This window comes from Homo sapiens, chromosome 2 (assembly GCF_000001405.40).
Source record: "Homo sapiens chromosome 2, GRCh38.p14 Primary Assembly".
NCBI classification, from domain to species: domain Eukaryota; kingdom Metazoa; phylum Chordata; class Mammalia; order Primates; family Hominidae; genus Homo; species Homo sapiens.
The window spans coordinates 40,080,773-40,096,924 of NC_000002.12; the positions used below are offsets into that span (position 1 = coordinate 40,080,773).

A 16,152-nucleotide genomic window follows, 5' to 3' on the forward strand; every position below is an offset into this window, starting at 1 on the left:
TCAGGAGTTTGAGACCAGCCTGGCCAACCTGGTGAAACGCTGTCTCTACTAAATCTACAAAAATGAGCCAGGTGTGATGGTGGGTGCCTGTAATCCCAGCTACTAGGAAGGCTGAGGCAGGAGAATCACTTGAACCCAGGAGGTGGAGTTGCAGTGAGCTGAGATTACACCACTGCACTCCAGCCTGGGCAACAGAGTGAGACTCTGTCCCAGTAATAAAAAAAAATTACTCATTTTAGGCAATGTTCATCTTTGTATACCTGGCTTATTTCACTGAACATAATGACTCCACTTCCTTCCATGTTGCAGCAAATGACAGAATTTCATTCTTTTTTATGGCTGAATAGTACTCCGCTGTATATATGCACCCCATTTTCTTTAACAATTCATTCATTGATGGACACTTAGGTTGCTTCTAAACCTTTGCTATTATGAATAGTGCTGCAATAAACACGACAGTGCAGATTATCTCTTCAATATACTAATTTCCTTTCTTTTGGGTATATACCTAGCAGCGGGATTGTTAGATCATATGGTGGCTCTATTTTTAGTTTTTTTCGGGGAACCTCCAAGCTGTTTTCCGTAGTGGTTGTACTAATTTACATTCCCACGAGTCTCCACATTCTCCCCAGCATTTGTTCTTGCCTGTCTTTTGAATAAAAGCCATTTTAACTGGGGTGAGATAGTATCTCATTGTAGTTTTGATTTGTATTTCTCTGATGATCAATGATGTTAAACACCCTTATACAGACACTTGTTTGCCATTTGTATGTCTTAAGAAATGTCTTTTTAGATCTTTTGCCCACTTTTTCATCAGATATTAGATTTTTTCTTATAGAGGTGTTTGAGCTCTTTATGTATTCTGGTTATTAAACCCTTGTCAGCTGGATAGTTTGCAAATACTTTCTTCCATTCTGTAAGCTGTGTTTTCACTATGTGGATTCACTTTGCGGTGCAGAGGTTTTTAAATTGATTGATGTGATCCCATTTGTCCATTTTTAGTTTGGTTGCCTGTGATTATGGGGTGTTACTCAAGAAATCTTTACCAAGTGCAATGTCCTGGAGAGTTTCCTCAAAGTTTTCTTGTAGTAGTTTCATAGTTTGAGGTCTTAGATTGAAGTCTTTATTCCATTTTGATTTGATTTTTGTATTTGGTGAGAGATAGGAGTCTAGTTTCATCCTTCCACATAGGGATATCTAGTTTTACCAGCACTATTTATTGAAGAGACTTCTTTTCCCAATGTATGTTATTGTCACTGTTGTTGAAAATGCATTCACTGTAGATGTATGGAATTGTTTCTGGGTTCTTTATTCTATGTCATTGGTTATATGTCTTTTTTCATGCCAGTATCATGATGTTTTGGTTATTATAGTTTTGTAGTGTGAGCTAAAGTTAGGTAATGTGGTTCTTCCAGGTTTGTTTCTTTTGCTTAGGATAGCTTTGGCTATGCTGGGTCTTTTTTTCACATAAACTTTAGGATTTTTTTATACTTCTGTGGATAATGTCATTGGTATTTTGATAGTGATTGCATTAAATATGTATATTGCTTTGGGTTGTATGGACATTAAAAAAAGATTGATTCTACCAATCCATGAACATGGAATATCTTTTCATTTTTTGTGTCCTCTTCAGTTTCTTTCATCAATATTTTATAGTTTTCATTGTAGAGGTCTTTCACCTCTATGGTTAAGATAATTCCTAGGTATTTCATTTTATTCGTAGCTATTGTAAATGGAAGTACTTTCCTGATTTCTTTTTTCAGACTGTTCACTGTTGGCATATAAAAATGCTACTATTTTTGTATGTTGATTTGTATCCTGAAACTTTGCTGAATTTATTTATTAGTTCAAATAGTTTTATGGTGGAGTGTTTAGGTTTTTTCCTAAATATAAGATCATATCATCTGTAGATAACAATAAGTTGACTTTTTCCTTTCCAATTTGAATGCCCTTTATTTCTTTCTCATGACTGATTGCTCCAGCTAGGATATCAGTATTATGTTGAATAACAGTGGTGAAAGTGGGCATCCTTGTTGTGTTTCATGTCTTCGATGAAAGGCTTTCAATTTTTCTTATGGTAGTATTCTAGCTGTGCATCTGTCATACATGTCTCTTATTCTGTGGAAGTATGTTCCTCCTATCCCCAGTTTTTTGAGGGTATTTATCATGAAAGGATGTTATATTTTATCAAATGCTTTTTTAGCATCAATTGAAATGATCATATAGTTTTTTTTCCTTCATTCTGTTGGTATGATTTATCACAATAATTGATTTGCATATGTTGGACCATTTATGCATCCCAAGGATAGTTCCCACTTGGCTGTGATGAATGATCTTCATGTGTTGTTGAATTTGATCCACTAGTATTTTGTTGAGGATTTTTGCTTCAATGCTCATCAGAGATATTGGTCTGTATTTCCCTTTTTGATGTGTCTTTGTCTGATTTTGTTATCAGGATAATGCTGGCCTCATAAAAATAGTTTGAAAGTATTTTCCCCTCCTCTATTTTTTGGAATAGTTTGAGTGGGATTGGCATTAATTCTTTAAATGTTTGACAGAATTCAGCAATGAAGCCATCAGGTCCCTGGCTTTTTTTTTTTTTTTTTTTCTGGAAGACTTTTTTTATCACTTCAATCTTTTACTTACTATTAGTTTGTTTCAGTTTTAGATTTCTTCACAGTTTAATCTTGATAGGTAGTATGTGTCTAGGAATTTATCCATTTCTTCTGGATCTTCCAATTTATTGGTATATACTTCCCCATAGTAGCCTCTAATGATCCTTTTAATTTCTGCAGTATCACTTGTAATGCCTTCTTTTTCATCTCTGATTTTACTTATTTGGGTCCCCTCTGTCTTTTTTTTTTTTTTTTGGTCTGGCTAAGGTTCTTTGATTTTATCTTTTCAAAAAGCCAACTTTTCATTTTGTTGATCTTTTGTACTGCTTTCTTCCTTTTCATTTATTTCTGCTCTGATTTTTATTATTTCTTTTCTTCTAATTTTGAATTTGGTTTGCTCTTGCTTTTCTAATTCTTTAAGGATTTTACTGTTTGGTTTGTTGTTTGAAATTTTTCTTTTCTGCTATAGGCACTTAAAGCTATGAACTTCCCTCTTAGTACTGCATTCACTGTATCCCATTGGTTTTGGCATGTTGCATTCCCATTATCATGTTTCAAGACACTTTTCAATTTCCTTCCTAATTTCCTTATTGACCCACTCATCATTCAGGAGCATACTGTTTGTATTTCCATGTGTTTGTATAGTTTCTAAAATTCCTGTTATTGATTTCTAGTTTTATTCCATTGTGGTCAGAGAAGATATTGATATAATTTCAATTTAAAAAAATTTTAAGACTTATTTTTTGGCCTAACATATGGTCTACCTATGAGAATGATCCATACGCTGAGGAAAAGAATGTGTATTCTGCAGACATTGGATGAAATGTTCTGTAAATATCTAATAGATCCATTTAATCTGTAGTGCAGATTAATTCTGATGTTTCTTTGTTGATTTTTCCACTTGGATGATCTCTCCAATGCTGAAAATGAGATGCTGGTGTTTTCAGCTGTTACTGTATTGGGGTCTACCTCTCTCTTTAGCTCTAATAACATGTGATTTATATATCTGAGTGCTACAGTATTGGCTGTATATATATTTACAATTGTTATATTCTTTAGCTGAATTGACCCTTTTGTCATTATATAATGACCTTCTTTGTCCCTTTTGTAGTTTTTGTCATCCTGAAATCTATTTTGTCTGATATAATTACTCCTGTTATTTTTTGGCTTTTGTTTGCATGGAATATCTTTTCCCACCCCTTTATTTACAGTCTGTGTGTGCCTTTATAAATGAAATGTGTTTCCTGTAGGCAACAGATTACTGGGTCTTTTTTTTTTTTCAATCCATTCAGCCACTCTGCATCTTTTGGTTGGAGAGTTTAGTCCATTTACATTCAACATTATTATTGATAAGTAGGAACTTACTCCTGTCATTTTGTTATTTGTTTACCGGTTGTTTTGTGGTCGTGTTTTCCTTTCTTTCTGTATTCCTTTTAGTGAAGGTGATTTTCTCTGGTGGTATGTTTTAGTTTCTTACTTTTTATTTATTGTGTATCTGTTGTATGTTTTTTGATTTGTGGTTACCATGAGGCTTGCAAATAATATATTTTATGCTGAAGACTACTTAAAAGTGATTGCATAAACAAACTAATAAACAACGAAGAGAAAACTAATAAAATTCTACGCTTTAATTTCATGCCTGAGCTTTTTAACTTTTTATTGTCTCTATATCTTATTGTACTGTGTATGTCTTGAAAAGTTGTTGTAGTTATTATTTTTGATTGGATCATCTCTTAGTCTTTCTACTCAAGATATGAGTAGTTTACACACCACAATTTCAGTGTTATAATATTCTGTGCGTTTTTTTGTGTGTGTATTTACTATTACTGATGAGTTTTGTATTGTCAGATGATCTTAGTCCTCTTTTAAGACTGAAGAATTCCCTTTAGCATTTCTTCTAGGATAAGCTTAGTGTTGAAATCCCTCAGCTTTTGTTTGTCTGGAGAAGTCTTTATTTCTCCTTGATGTCTGAATGATGTTTTCACTGGATATACTGTTCTAGAATTTTTTTTTCCTTCAGCACTGTAAATATGTCATTTCACTTTTTCCTGGCTTGTAAGGTTTCCACTCAAATGTTGGCTGCCAGGCATAGTGGGGCTCTATTATATTTTGTTTATTTTCTCTTGCTACTTTTAGGGTCCTTTATCTTTGACCTTTGGGAGTTTGATTCTTAAATGTCTTGAGGTAGTCTTATTTGGGTTAAATCTGCTTGGCATTCTATAACCTTCTTGTACTTTAATATTGATACTTTCTCTAGGTTTGGGGAATTCCCTTTTATTATCCCTTTGAATAAACTTTTCTACCCTATATCTCTCTCTCCCATCGCTTTAAGGCCTTGGATTAAACTCTTAGGTTTCCCTTCTTAAGGCTATTTTCTAGATCTTATATGTGAGCTTCATTCTTTTTTATTCTTTTATTTTATGTTTTAGATGGCGTCTCACTGTCACTTAGGCTGGAATGCAGTGGCACGATCTTGGCTCACTGCAACCTCTGCCTCCCAGGCTCACTTGAACTTCTCACCTCAGCCTCCCAAGTAGCTAGGACTATGGGCATGCACCACCATGCCAGGCTAATATTTATACTTTTTGTAGAGATGGGGTTTCCCCATGCCACCCAGGCTGGTCTTGAACTCTTGGACTCAAGAAATCCACCCAGATTGGCCTCCCAAAGTGCTGGATTATAGGCATGAGCCACTGCCCCCACCCTTTTTTATTCTTTTATTTGTTTGTTTCTTCTGTGTATTTCCAAACAGCCTGTCTTTAAGCTCACTAATTCTTTCTTCTGCTTCATTAATTCTACTGGTAGGAGACTCTGCTGCATTCTTCAGTGTGTCAGTTGCATTTTTCAACTTCACAATTTCTGCTTGATTTTTTTAAATTATTTTAATCTCACTGTTAAATTTATCTGATAGGATTCTGAATTCCTTCTCTGTGTTATCTTGAACTTCACTGAGTTTCCTAAAAATAGCTATTTTGAATTCTCTGCCTCAAAGGTCATTTCTCTCTCTCCCCAGGATTGGTCCCTGGTGCCTTATTTAGCTCATTTGGTGAGATCATGCTTTCCCGGATTGTCTTAATGTTCATTAGTGTTTGGGTATTGAAGAGTTAAGTATATATTGTAGTCTTTGCAGTCTGGGCTTTTTTGTACCCATCCTTCTTATGAAGGCATTCAAAGGGACTTGGGTGTTGTGATCTAAGATTTGGACACTGAAACTGTATCTGCATTAGGGGACACCTCAAGCCCAGTAATACTGTGGTACACTGTGTCTCTTGCAGACTCATAGAGGTACGAACTTGGTGGTCTTGGATAAGATCTGGATAAATTCTCTGGGTTACCAGGCAGAGATTCTTGTTCTCTTACTCTCTCCCAAACAGAGTTTTTCTCTGTGCTAAGCTGCCTGGATCTGGGTGGGGGTGGCGGGGAGTTGGGGGGATGAAACAAACACCCCTGTGTCCACCACCAATGGGGCTGTGCTTGGTCAGACCTGAAGTCAGCATGGTACTGGGTCTCACCCAAGGCCTGTGGTAACCATAGCCTGGCTACTGCCTATATTTGCTCAAAGCTCTAGGGTTCTAGAATCATCAGGTGGTGAAGCCAGCCTGACTTGTGTCCTTCCCTTCATGGTGGTGAGTTAGTTCCCCCCACCCCAGGTGTGTCTAGAGATGCTGTCCGAGAGCCAGGGCCTGGAGTCAGAAACGTTAGGAATCTACCTGGTGCTGTGTTTTACTCTGGCTGATCTGGCATCCAACCCACAAGACAAAGTCCTTCCCTCCCTTCCCCTTTCCACAAGCAGAGGCAGTCTCTCCTTGTGACCACCACTGTCTCAGGCCTGCAGGAATACTGTCTGGGTACTGACAATGTTGACTCAAGGCCCAAGGGCTCTTTCAGCTTGTTGTGAATGCTGCCAGACCCAGGACCCTCCCTTCAGGGTAGTGGGCTCACCTATGGTCCAGGGCAGGTCCAGAAATGCTGTCCAAGAGCCAATGCCTGAAATTGGTGACCCTAAAAGCCCACTTGGTGCTCTACTCCACTGTTACCAAGGTAGTGCTTAAAGGTGAAAGACAAAGTTCCCTTTACTCTTTCCTCTCCTTTCCTCAAGCAGGAGGGTTCTCACCCCATAGCCACGACAGGTGGGAGTGTGCTGGATCATACCTGAAGTCAGCACAGCTCTGAGTCTCATCTAAGGCCCACAGTGAGAGGCCTGGCTACTACTGTTGTTTATTCAGGGCCCAAGGGCTCTTTAGTCAGCAGATGATGAATTCTGCCAAGACTGGGTCTTTCCATTCACGTCAGCAGCTTTCCTCTGGCCAAGGATGTTGTCTAGCAATGTCATCTGGCTACCAGAGGCTGAAATAGAGGACTTAGGACTCTGCCGGGTGCCCTATCGTACTGTGGCTGAGCTGGTAACCAACTCTTCGTTAGCCTTTCATCTCTTCTCCTCAAGCAGAGGGAAGAAATCTGTCCTCGAGCTGTGAGCTGTGCTGCCTGGGATTGAGGGGAGGGCTGGTGCAAGCATTACCTTGGCTGCCCTGGCTGGTGTCTCAGTAGGTTGTGTGCCTCTCAAGTCCACTGGCTTTGAGTCCAGCTCAGCGCCGGGACTTGCCCAGTAGTTGAAGTCCTTGTGGCCTAGGTTGCCTTTCAAGTTTATTTAGAACCCTGGGCATGTTAGCCCACAAGATTAGCCTTGCCAGACTGGGAAGTGCAATTCCTCTGTGGCTGGGAATGGTCTAAAAGCTTCCTCCATGTGCATCAGCCGAGCTCCGCCCAGTGTTGCTTTCTGCTGTGATAGGGCAGCACTGAGTTCCAACGCAAAGTCCCACAGTCACTGCACTTTCCTTCCCGCAAGTGCATAGATTCTCTTCCCATGCCACGGTTCCACTGCTGGGGGGATGAGGGAGGAGTGGTGTTGGCAATTCAAGACTCTTTCCTACTCTCTTTAGTGTCTCTTTCAGTGATAAGAAGTTAAAACCAGGTACTGTGATCTCTCATCTGATTTTTAGTTCTTTGTTTAATTGTTGTTTAATTTGGTTACTTCCGGGAGGACGATTGGTGGAGCTTTCTATTCTGCTATCTTGCCCTGCCTCCCTTCGAATGAGGAAGCTCCTATATTTTTTCATTGCCATTTCAAGTGAGATATAGTCTACCATTATATTTTCTAATGGTTTTTACTGGGATACCTTTGGATTTTTACAGGAAGATAAAAACTCCTCAAATCTTTCTTTCTTTGATTGTTCCATTAATGTCAAAATCTACTTTTATTTTGCCATTTTCAGTTCACAAAAGAAAACTCTTACAGGTAGTGACTGACATTTATCTTGTTTAAGGATTAACCTCTTAACACTGTTCTCTTGGCCTGTTACCTTGACATAAGTGCTGGTCAATAGAGATACTTTAAAGAGTTATCAATGTCAATGTTGGCTTGTTAGCTGATTATGCTGTAATGAAATGTCTGGCTCTTTACCTCAAAAGGCTTCTAATCACAAAACTAAGGCCATTTCAGAACTCTTTTGAAATTATATAGCCTCTGCCCTGGAATGAGTTCATTCCTTAGTGAAGATAGTATTAAGGCCTTCTGGATGCATAATTTGGTGCCAGAGTGGAGAATCTTGCCTATTTGTTAATTCCATTCTCACCTTTTAACTCAGTCCACAGAACAGTGCTCTGTCCATCAAAACCCATAGTATATCGTATTAAACCATTAAGTCTCTGACTTTGTTTCCTTAAAGTTGAGTTTCTGCCCAGGCTCTTATTTCGTGGCCCAGTTTCTCTAAAACTGGGGGTTCACTTTAAGTCCATTAGTTTTTCCAGAATCCATTACTGTTTCTGAATCTATGTCTCCACCATTGGTTGCCACGTGCTGGGTGTCTTTGAGATCCTAGTTTGCTGCTACTATATTTTCTTAATGTCATGCCTCACCCACTTATCTCATCTTAGTGAAATGCAATTGTTCTCAATACTATACAGTAAAATAACTGGAGAGGCAGAGTTTCCAGATAGAGTAAGATCTCCCAGTTAAGTTTAAATTTCAGAAAAGCAACAAATAATTTTTTTAGTATGTCTCATGCAATATTTGGGACATACTAAAAAATTTGTTGTTTATCTGAAATTCAGATTTAATTGGACATTTTGTATTTTTCTTTATAGAATCTAGCAACTCTACTTGGGAAACATTTGAAAAAGACCCATTCTTAAGCTCCACCACCTACTGTCATGTGCAAAGATTTTTTATTTGATTTGCCTATGGTGGGTCCTGAGCCAAGAATTTATATTAAACACTCCCTATGCACTATTAATGTGTGGCCAGGATTGAAACCACTGCTCTAATTGCTCTAATTGGACTGAAATATATCCCACATACCAGATTCACCACAGTGGTCCCATCCACTCTAGATCCTGACTATTCCTGGCTATTTATCTATTCATCCATCCATTCATTAAATACATTAGTGCCAGCCCTAAGTCAGGTATATGGCTTTTGAGGCTTTGGGTTAATTTTCTGCACATATTCTATATGAAATAATATAGCAGTTTAGTAAAATTAACCCTCCCCAGAAGTGAAGAAAAACTTCTGCATTTTGGCAGAGGAGAAAAAAACAATCATGACTTCTATAGGTTCTACAACCTTCCAACTCATTTTTAATTCCATTTAATTAATTACTTAAAGACAATAGCTTATTAAATGTTTCCAATTATAAGTAAATCAGATGGAAATGCTCTATCTTGGTCATAGTAGATTTAGTCTTAAATTCCTATGGGCAGTCTTTGATGCAAAGTAATTACCCTTAAAGCACTTTGCCAATTAGACACATGTTATTTATAAGAGATTCTCCTATGCAGTGTGTAAGTGGTCATTTGTCATCTTGCCAGTGGGAAGAAATTAATCGCAACCTTGAATAATGACTGGCTCTCTTGTGCCTACCATAGATATAGTGCTACAGTGTTATTACAGTGGAATGCAGATGACAACATACAATTTTGCTTGGATGCTTAAGCAACTCTGCATCTTTCCGAGGGACTCTTCGCAGGTTTATGTAAAATTTTCCCAAAAACAATAATTTGTAAATTTTATGATCACAATAAGCATGTTCTTTCACTTTCTAATCTCTTGCAGTAAAAATACTGAAGGGACTGTAAAAGAATTCTTAAGAACTTTGTCAAGTATTCTATAACGCAATGTCAACTTCAATATAATTTCCTGCAATTAGTTGGTCGCCTTTTGGAAAAGATTTATATGCATTTTAGAAGGCTTTATGCATTTCAGCTTAGAAAACTTGATACATTTCAGAACATAATAGTTTATCACATATGAGTTTATAAATATATGCACACCTACTGTGTACTCACAAAAACTAAAAATTTAAAAAGTTTGTGGTTATGAACCTAATCTTTCATTTTTCACATATTGCCCCATTTGGGAAAATTAGACTTGATTTATAATATTTTGACAGGTGGAACTTTTTAAAAAAAATAGACCCATAATGTGAGGATGACTTTTATTCTATTTATGCCAGAACACTAGTCCTGCAATTATGCAGCTTTCTGAAATAGTATACTAGTTTTTTGCATAAATGCAATAGCAATAATAACAAATCCAGAGATTCATTAAGACTATCATAGAGTTAGAGGTTGTTGCTAGTGGTGGAGTTATACAATATAAAATTATCACTATAACACACACAAAAATCTGCAAGGAGAAGAACACAAGAGAAAATTTCAGGAGCAGTTCTCTTTATAGCTGTTACTATTTTCATCAGTTCAACTCTTGGATGTTTTCAGAATTGCACCTGTGTCCTGATACCTGCATGGGAGTGGTTGAGCTCAGTGGGTGGTGTGCAGCCTCTAGGGTCAGTTAGGTCCTCCCGCTGGCTCTGCACTGACTGGCCACATAAGCCTCACAAAGTAGGGACCCTCTTTATTTCTCAAGTTTTTCCATTTGAAATATAGGGATAATAATATCTGACTCATGGTGGTTTTTTGTTGTTGTTGTTGTTGTTGTTTGTTTGTTTTTGAGACGGAGTCTCACTTTGTCACCCAGGTTGGAGTGCAATGGCATGGTCTCGGCTCACTGCAACCTCCGCCTCCTGGGTTCCAGCAATTCTCCCGCCTCAGACTCCTGAGTAGCTGGGACTACAGACGACCACCACCACACCCGGCTAATTTTTGTATTTTTAGTAGAGATGGGGTTTCACTATGTTGGTCAGGCTGGTCTCGAACTCCTGACCTTGTGATCTGCCTGCCTCGGTCTCCCAAAGTGCTGCGATTACAGGCATGAGCCACCGTGCCCGGCCATGGTTTTTTTTAATTTTATTTTTAATTTTTATTTTTTTTTAATGAGAGTTGAAGGAGTTAATGTGTGTCACGTGTCTAGCAGTGGCTAGTACTGAATTAAGGTGAACTATTGATATCAGTATTGTTTATGATACAGTAATAAAGCAAAAGTTACTGGAGTACCTTAGCATAAATTACTAATTGTTTATATCAGTAATTTAACCCATCAAATTTCCTTATGTACTCCCTCCCTTAAGAAAAGTCTTAATTCTTTTCTTTTTCTATATAAAAATGAACCCCTTCAGTGACCATTTCCATGTCACCACTTTGTTTTACTTTTGTATCCTCCCAGTTGCATCTCAGTGGCTTCTGTTTATCGTGGTTTTTCTCTGTTTTCTTAAACATACAGTAAGAAGTCATACTTCACTATCACAGCTCTGATCTTCCAGTCAGCGTTGATAGTATGCAGCACTTATATAACGTTCACTACATGCCAGGCACTTTCCTAAGGGATCTGGGCATATTAACCCATTTCATCTTTGCAGGAACACCATGAGATAGGTGCTATAATTCTCCCCATTTTACTGATTAGAAAACTGAGGCACAGAGAAAGTAAATAATTTGATCATGATCACACAGCATAGCAGAGGCAGGATGTGAACTAAAGTAGTCTGGCTCCAGAATATATGCCCTTAACCATTACTGTATACTGCCCCTTTGGAGAAATATTAGGAGTTAGAAAACTGCAATACAGTGATGCTTAGACTCATAGGATTCACCCTACAGAGTGAAAACTCAGGCATCATGATTTTTCAAAGGTCACAGCAGGTTGAGCATCCGTGCTTCCTATGACTATAAAACATGTTGCAGGAACATGGATGGAGCTGGAGGCCATTATCCTTAGCAAACTAACACAGGAACAGAAAAACACTGCATATTCTCATTTATAAGTGAGAGTTAAATGATGAGGACACATGGTCACATAGAGGGGAACAACACGCACTGGACCCTTTCAGAGGCTGGAGGGTGGGAGGAGAGAGAGAATCAGGAAAAATAACAAATGAGTATTAGGTTTAATATTTGGGTGATGAAATATTTTGTACAACAAACCCCCATGATACAAGTTTACCTGAACTTAAACTTGCACACATACCCCTGAACTTAAAAAAAAAAAGTTTCTGTATCCCAGGTTTCGTTTGTCTCCAGTAAAATGGAGAGCCCTGGTCAACTGACCTGAAAGGGTCTGACATTTTGCCTATGGTTTTGTTCTGTTGCATCCTTCATCAATTCTAGAAGGCCCTCATATTGTCTTTGTTCTTATTAGCCATGTTGTGTGTGTGTAGTTTTTAAAAAATCATTTTGATGCTGGTGAGTTTCTTGATGAACAGAACCAATGTCTGTACTTGGCTTTAAATCATCTTCAGAAAGACACAGGCACTCTGGTAATCTGCTCTTATTGAATTGAAAAACCTTTGGGAAAGGATGTTTGTGAGAAATGTCTACGTTCTGGTTTGTCCACAGGAGATGAGTTAGGAATTTTGAGTTCATTCTTCTGGAACTTATGGAACCCTGGCTTAGTGGAACCCCCACCAAAGTGTAAGGAATGAAGCATGTGGTAGCCTCATTCACAAACGTACCGATTTTCTGTAATCACTAACCGCAGGAAGCATGATTTTTGCCTAATTTCTTTTCACATTGTACCCAAACAGAGTGCCCTCATTAATTAAGAACAAGATTTTTTCATTTGCGTCTTTAGGTCCTGGCTTCTTTTGGGCTGGGGCTTATATACACTTGGAATTTGTTGGCTAGAGTTTTAAAACAGACGGTCACATGCTTTTTTTTTTTCTCTCTCTCTCTTAGAAACTTGCTTGATTGTTTGTCTTCTAGTTCTCATGGTAACCAAAGAAGGTTGTTAACACTTTTTTCTCACCAAGTAAAATCAGCAGAGCTGTCAGACAGTTGCAGCTGTTTGATAAAGGCTTGACCTTTTGCTGTATTTTTCTGTTTTCTGTTGATGAGCTCTTATTACATTGAACCTTGTTTTTAGTGACACGTAGTAAGAAAAAGAACCTAAAGGGCATTTTTTTTGCATGTAGCCTATTTAGTAATGTGGCATTGCTATCAGATAATAAAGATATTCCTACAATATAAGATCCTTGGTAATGAAAGCCAATGTTATATATGGCTCACAAAGATAAAACATGCCTGGGACCATTTAGGTTACCTTCACATGCTACAGATTTATCATCTCAGTTTCTGAAAATATTTAGTTGCATTATATTTTCAGTCAGATGAGATATGGAGTCAGTCACTTAAAAAGGATCTGGCTTAGGTACCAGTGGTCAAATGTAAAATTTTACTAGTTGTATATTTGCAGTGTGTTCACCATTATTTCTTGAAATGAAGTTTCACCTGCCACTGAATGGCTGGGCATAGATTCTAGGAAGAGCTCCTTATGGTTCCACATGAATAAGCATGTAAAGTTGTTGGATCCTGGGAGCCTACATTTAAATATGTTCATTATTAGTATCTAAATAAAAATCAAGAATTTACTGGGAATCTCTCAATTTTATTGTATTATCTTTTCCTGTAGCCATTAAGCATGGAGACTAGGCATGATTGGAGAATCACCGCTGTTGACAGATGATAAAAATAGTGCTGCAACATAGCTAATGTCATGGGAAATCTTAAAACAGAATGGTCATTTGGAATAAGAGAAAATTCCTTGTGTGCTCAATCCCATTTTTGGACTGGTAATTGTTGCCACTCTTAGATTATCTACCACAGCCAACGTCCTTTTTGTTGTTGCTGTTGTTCTGGATAATCTTGTAACTTGCTTTGTTAAAAGAAAAGAATTATATTGTAAATTTGTGAGTGAAATCAGATTTATTTTTGTTCCCAAATCAGATGTCTATAGATGAGACAGACCAAAACAGCAAGAAATAAATATATCCATTCTCCATGGTTATCTGAAAATATTGAAAGTGACGTTGGATGAACTGTTTCCAAGGTGACTTGATGAAGCATGAAACACTTTTTGGAGTGCTTTCCTTGAACTGGGGGATACTATTTAAAGTCTCTCTACTGATATGATATTCTGCATAATCTATTATCACAAATAATAAGTTCTATGATGATATATAGGGTGATTGTTACTGTGGAGTGGTACATCAAATCTAGATGGAATTTTTTTGACTGACCTGGTGTACATTGTGATTGTCTAGGTTGTGTCTATTGGAGGATATTTGCTATCATTTTATCACTTCATGTCACTTTGGGAGTTTACTTAAACCGAGCAGATGTTTTCAAGTTTTATGAAGACAGAATTGCAAAATGATTATAAGCTTGAGCTTTGGAGTCAGATAGACTTGAATTCAAACTCTGGTTCTGCCTCTTAGTGTGATTTTTGGCAAGTACTTAAGTTCTCTAAGATTCAAGTTCTTACATGTAAAATGAAGTAGAAATTATACTTCTTTTAGAAGGGTTTTATTAGGATCGAGGATCTAACCCAAGTAAAGGGCTTAGTCATTGCCTGTTTGTTGGCAAGGATTCAATAAATGTTGGCTGAAGTGACTGTAATGAAGAGAGTTAGAACTCAGCTTATCTGGTCTTTTCATCTTTCAGCATGAAAGATGGTGCTGGTGTTAACGAAAAATTTATTCGTTTGCTAAAGACATTTGCTTAAAGACAGTATGAAGATTTTATTCAACAAGGAGATTACTGACTGCAGTGGGATTTTGCAGTAGGGAGAAGATACTCAGCTCAACTCTGAATAGAGAAAGGACAAGTGGAAATTTATCACCAAGGAGGAGAGTGGGGATCAGTGGATAGAAAATTATTAAGAGGAAACAGCAAGTCTATACGGGGATTCTTGCTAGACTGACTCAACTGTATTCTTGCTGAATAAAGGCCAGGGTGATAAGATAGAAAAGGTGGGGAATGAAGAATTTGATTAGCTATCAAGAATGGGAGATTTTTGCTAAACTGACCCAGAAGGATTCTTGCTAAAACTAGGCTAAGTTGACAAGGAGCCCAAGTTCAAGGCCTGGTAGAGAGAAGAGGGCTCAGAGGGGCCTGACTCAAGTTTGGTCAAGTAGAGAGTCTTTGTCACTGGCATAAGGGACATATATACCATATAGGACATAAACACCGACTAACATTTATTGAGTACCTTATGAATATCAGGCACTGTATCAAACACTTAGCAAATGTTAATTGTTGTATTCCATGCTTTCAACAACACGAAAGAGCAGGTACTATCAGTCTTATTTTACAAACAGGGAAATTGAGGTTCAGAATGGTGAAAGAGCTACCCAGGTAGACTACCCAGGTAGACTGACAAAGCTAGAATTTAAATCCAGAGTTTTCTGATTTTATTAACCAGCATTGATGTACACTGTTCTGTCTTGCACACATATGGTTGTATGGATAGATGTAATCTCACCTTCAATGTTTAGCAAATATTTACAGTGAATGAATTAATGAATACTTGTAAGAATGGCAAGTTACAATAGCTTTCAATAGGTTCAGAGGAATATTTAAGTGCTGCAAAAATTAACTTAAAATACCAAGATCAAGGCATAGACCACTTTTCAATCTCATTACCCCGAGTACCATAATGGCAGAAACTACAAGGTTTCATGCTTCTTTCAAATTATCGAATTGCCTTGGAGCTCAGGGCTTTAGTATTTCCAGGTGCTGGTCATCTGCTTTTGACTTGTATGAATCTGAGACTCATTTATCTTTGTTATGGCCACAATTCACCTTGAAAGACAATGGGGGCATCTCCTTGAATAAGAGAAATGGAAATGTGCTTGGAGATGTGAGTCTGGCTGTGAGTGTGTGTGTGCACAAGCACTTTTAAACAGTGATAACAGGTTTGGCACATGTAAGTATATGAGTCATTGAGAAAACATCCTGGATGTTTTTCCCTCTTCCCTCTATGGTATTCTGTGGATACATATTTATCCTTTCAGCCATTTTCCTCTTCTTTTACAGATATCCTTGATCACCTCCTGGGGCACCATTTGAAAAAGTGTGGTCTGGTGCTGCATTTTATGTGCAGCAAAGAACCTTAGAATAATGATTTGAAATAGACACAATGTGCAGTTTTCAAGAGAGGGACTTTGAAGTGTTATTTCCAGAGTTACGGTCAAATCTCTTAAATCGAGTTTTATTTTAACTTATTTTAAAGCTGGACTTTGAGACTCAATGCTTTGGTGAGTGATAGTGGCATTTCCCTGGACTGAATGTGCCATATTTTAATTTA

The 16,152-nt window shown here is 37.7% G+C and overlaps 1 long non-coding RNA gene across 1 annotated transcript in view, besides 1 other annotated feature; it reads left to right on the forward strand.

Annotated features, from left to right (window-relative positions):
* The window catches only part of SLC8A1-AS1 (SLC8A1 antisense RNA 1), a 337,576-nt gene that overhangs the window by 163,139 nt on the left and 158,285 nt on the right, over positions 1-16,152 (forward strand). The gene's annotated exons all lie outside the window — the stretch shown is intronic.
* Positions 15,637-15,931: an enhancer, noted in NCBI's record as "tiled region #6978; HepG2 Activating non-DNase unmatched - State 22:ReprW". NCBI's record gives its function as "activates a minimal TATA promoter and a strong SV40 promoter by Sharpr-MPRA in HepG2 cells {active_cell/tissue: HepG2}" and the evidence as "EXISTENCE:reporter gene assay evidence [ECO:0000049][PMID:27701403]".